The sequence below is a fragment of the Homo sapiens genome, chromosome 3 (genome assembly GCF_000001405.40).
Source record: "Homo sapiens chromosome 3, GRCh38.p14 Primary Assembly".
NCBI classification, from domain to species: Eukaryota; Metazoa; Chordata; class Mammalia; order Primates; family Hominidae; genus Homo; species Homo sapiens.
In genome coordinates this window covers 145,353,064-145,355,643 of record NC_000003.12, presented here as the reverse complement: position 1 = coordinate 145,355,643, position 2,580 = coordinate 145,353,064, and the positions used below count along the sequence as shown (strand labels likewise).

The 2,580-nt window shown below is 40.0% G+C and overlaps 1 annotated feature.

Moving 5' to 3' along the window:
• Positions 738 to 1,937: an enhancer, noted in NCBI's record as "P300/CBP strongly-dependent group 1 enhancer chr3:145071494-145072693 (GRCh37/hg19 assembly coordinates)". NCBI's record gives its function as "activates an origin of replication core promoter dependent on BRD2, BRD4, P300/CBP, MED14 and CDK7 cofactors, with strong dependence on P300/CBP, by STARR-seq in HCT116 cells {active_cell/tissue: HCT116}" and the evidence as "EXISTENCE:reporter gene assay evidence [ECO:0000049][PMID:35650434]".

Here is a 2,580-nt window from a genome sequence, read left to right as displayed (position 1 = left end):
AGATCACCCCCTTTCCACTTGGATAGTCTTCCTGCCGACTGTGCATGAGCTGTATGGTAGCTCTTTCTCAAGGCCCCACACCTAGGAAGACAAATTGTGCCAAGCTCTTTCTCTGCTGTTCCCTGAAGTTCAATACCCTGCAGGTCAGGCCCCAAGGGCCATCCAGACTCTGCCTTCCAATGTCAAGTTTACCTCATGTCTCTCACGACAGAGGGAATACTTCGCATTCCTTGGAGACTTAAAGGGATCGAAAGAGCTTAGGCCCTTCCAAGAGCTTACCCATCAGTCTGCCCTTAGCCATTCCTGAGCAGATGTATGGTCATATTGTGGTGGACCCCTGCTGGACACTCTGCCAAGTAACTGGAGCGGAACTAGTTCTCTAATTCAATTGGCTATCCCTTTCACCCTGGCATTTCATCAACCAGAAAAAGTAAAAGCAAAGCACTATAAACTGGGAGAGACCCCTCATGAGTCTTTTGATCCTTAAGTTTACATAGATGCCATCAGGGTTCCATGAAGAGTGTCAAATGAATTTAAAGCTTGAAACCAAATAGCTGCATGGTTTGAATCCACATTGTTCTGGTGGTTAACTATTAATAAAAATGTAGATTGGATAAATTACATTTACTATAACCAGCAAGGATTTAACTATACCAGAGATGCCATTAAAGGAATAGCTGAACAATTAAGGCCCACCAGTCAAATGTCCTGGGAAAATAGGATGGCATTAGACATGGTACTAGCAGAGAAAGGTGGAGTTTCTTTCATGATCAGAACCCAGTGTTGTACTTTCATCTCTAACAACACAGCCCCCAATGGGACAATTACAAAAGCCTTTCAGGGCCTTACCTCTCTATCAGATGAATTGGCTAAAAACTCAGAATAGAGGATCCCTTTACAAGCCTCATGGAAAAGTGGTTCAGTGGATGGGAAAAGTTAGTAACTTCAATAGTTACCTCCCTGGCATTGTTATAAGTGTACTAATCCTTGTTGGATGTTGCCAAATACCCTGTGCTTGAGGGTTAATACAAAGACTTATTGAGACAACTCTCACCAAAACTTTCCTCAATCCTCCCCTGCCTTATTCAGATAAGCTCTTTCTTTTAGAAGATCAAGCAGAACAACAAAGTCAAGACATGTTAAAAAGGTTTGAAGAGGGAAGATTGTAAAAATCAAAAGGGGGGAAATTGTTAGATACAGTTAGGTTCCCTCTTCAAACAGCTTATCCAGTTTCCCATTCTCTATCCTATAATTCCAAATACCCCCTTGCCTTTGCTGCACCCCAACTTGTCTGAATATGCCTAGGCATGCCAGAACTTGCTACAACCCCAGTCGACATTCCTTTCCTTATTAGGGAATAGGTTACCTTCCTAGTTCCCCTGTAAATGACCCCTCTTCCCTCTCTTCTCACTTCCCTTATGTGTCTACCTTATCTAAGAAAGTTTAAATGTTTAGCCAATTGGACTAGTTTAGACCATGTGGTCCAACCCTAACCAATAGGGGAAAGACACAGGAGCAGAAGCTGCATTAGAGATAATAAAAAACCCCTGCTTTCCTTTGTTCTGTGTGCTCTCACCATTGCTCCAACACAAGACACACCCTTCTGCAGAAGTAAATTTGCCTTGCTGAGATGTTGTCTAATTGCTTATTTTCAGTGTGATTCTGAACTCTTATTCCCAACAATTATGCAGCCGCCAAAGCAGAAGAGGTTCAGAGAGACTCTAGAGCTGCCCTTTGGTCAAAGATGATTTATGTACAGAAAAAGAAAGTGACATACAGAAAATGGAAGTGAGGTACTGAAACAGTTGGGTTGGTTACAGTTTGACGTTTGTCTTATTTGAACACAGTTCGGATAGCTGGTTACCTTTGATTGGTCAAAACCCAATGACTGCTGCAAGAGTAGGTTACAAACTGTCTACACATTCACTTAGGTTGCAGTTCACTATGTACAGAGACAACTTTAGGCTGACCTCATAGTATGTAAGGAGGCAGCTTTAGGCTAAAGTTAATTTAAGAGTATTTACACCATATATATAAAACAGGTGTAAATAACCTTAATAAGATAGATAATAGTACAATGTAGTTTAAAGTGGTAAATTGTGAGAATTTTTGCCCAGGTTTTTAATATAATTAATTTTCTTGTAGTTCATATAATTTAACTTCTATTAATGGCTGTGTTTAATAGTTCACTTTGCAAAAGTCTTGCAAATGTTATAATAGGTTCTAGATAATTGTTATGCCCTGCTCCATCAAATCACTGAATTTCTGTGGGCTCTTTTCACAAAAGGTTTTATGAATACTGAAGTATAGGAAGAGTTGTTTTGGACATAGGATTTAAATATCTACAAAGGGAAAGCATGTCTTTAGCAGCACAAAAATGGCTGAAGGGGATATTTGAGGGTAGGTAGCTACCAAGAAGACGAAAGAGAGAAAAAGAGAGGAGGCTTTTCCTGAAAAATAATTGGAAGGGTGGAGTTGGGATGGGGCATGGAAGGAGTGATATGGGAGTTGGAATATTTTTTACTTGTGTAGATGGAGAAAACAATCAGCAATTTTAGGATTTAAATACAAATATAACTT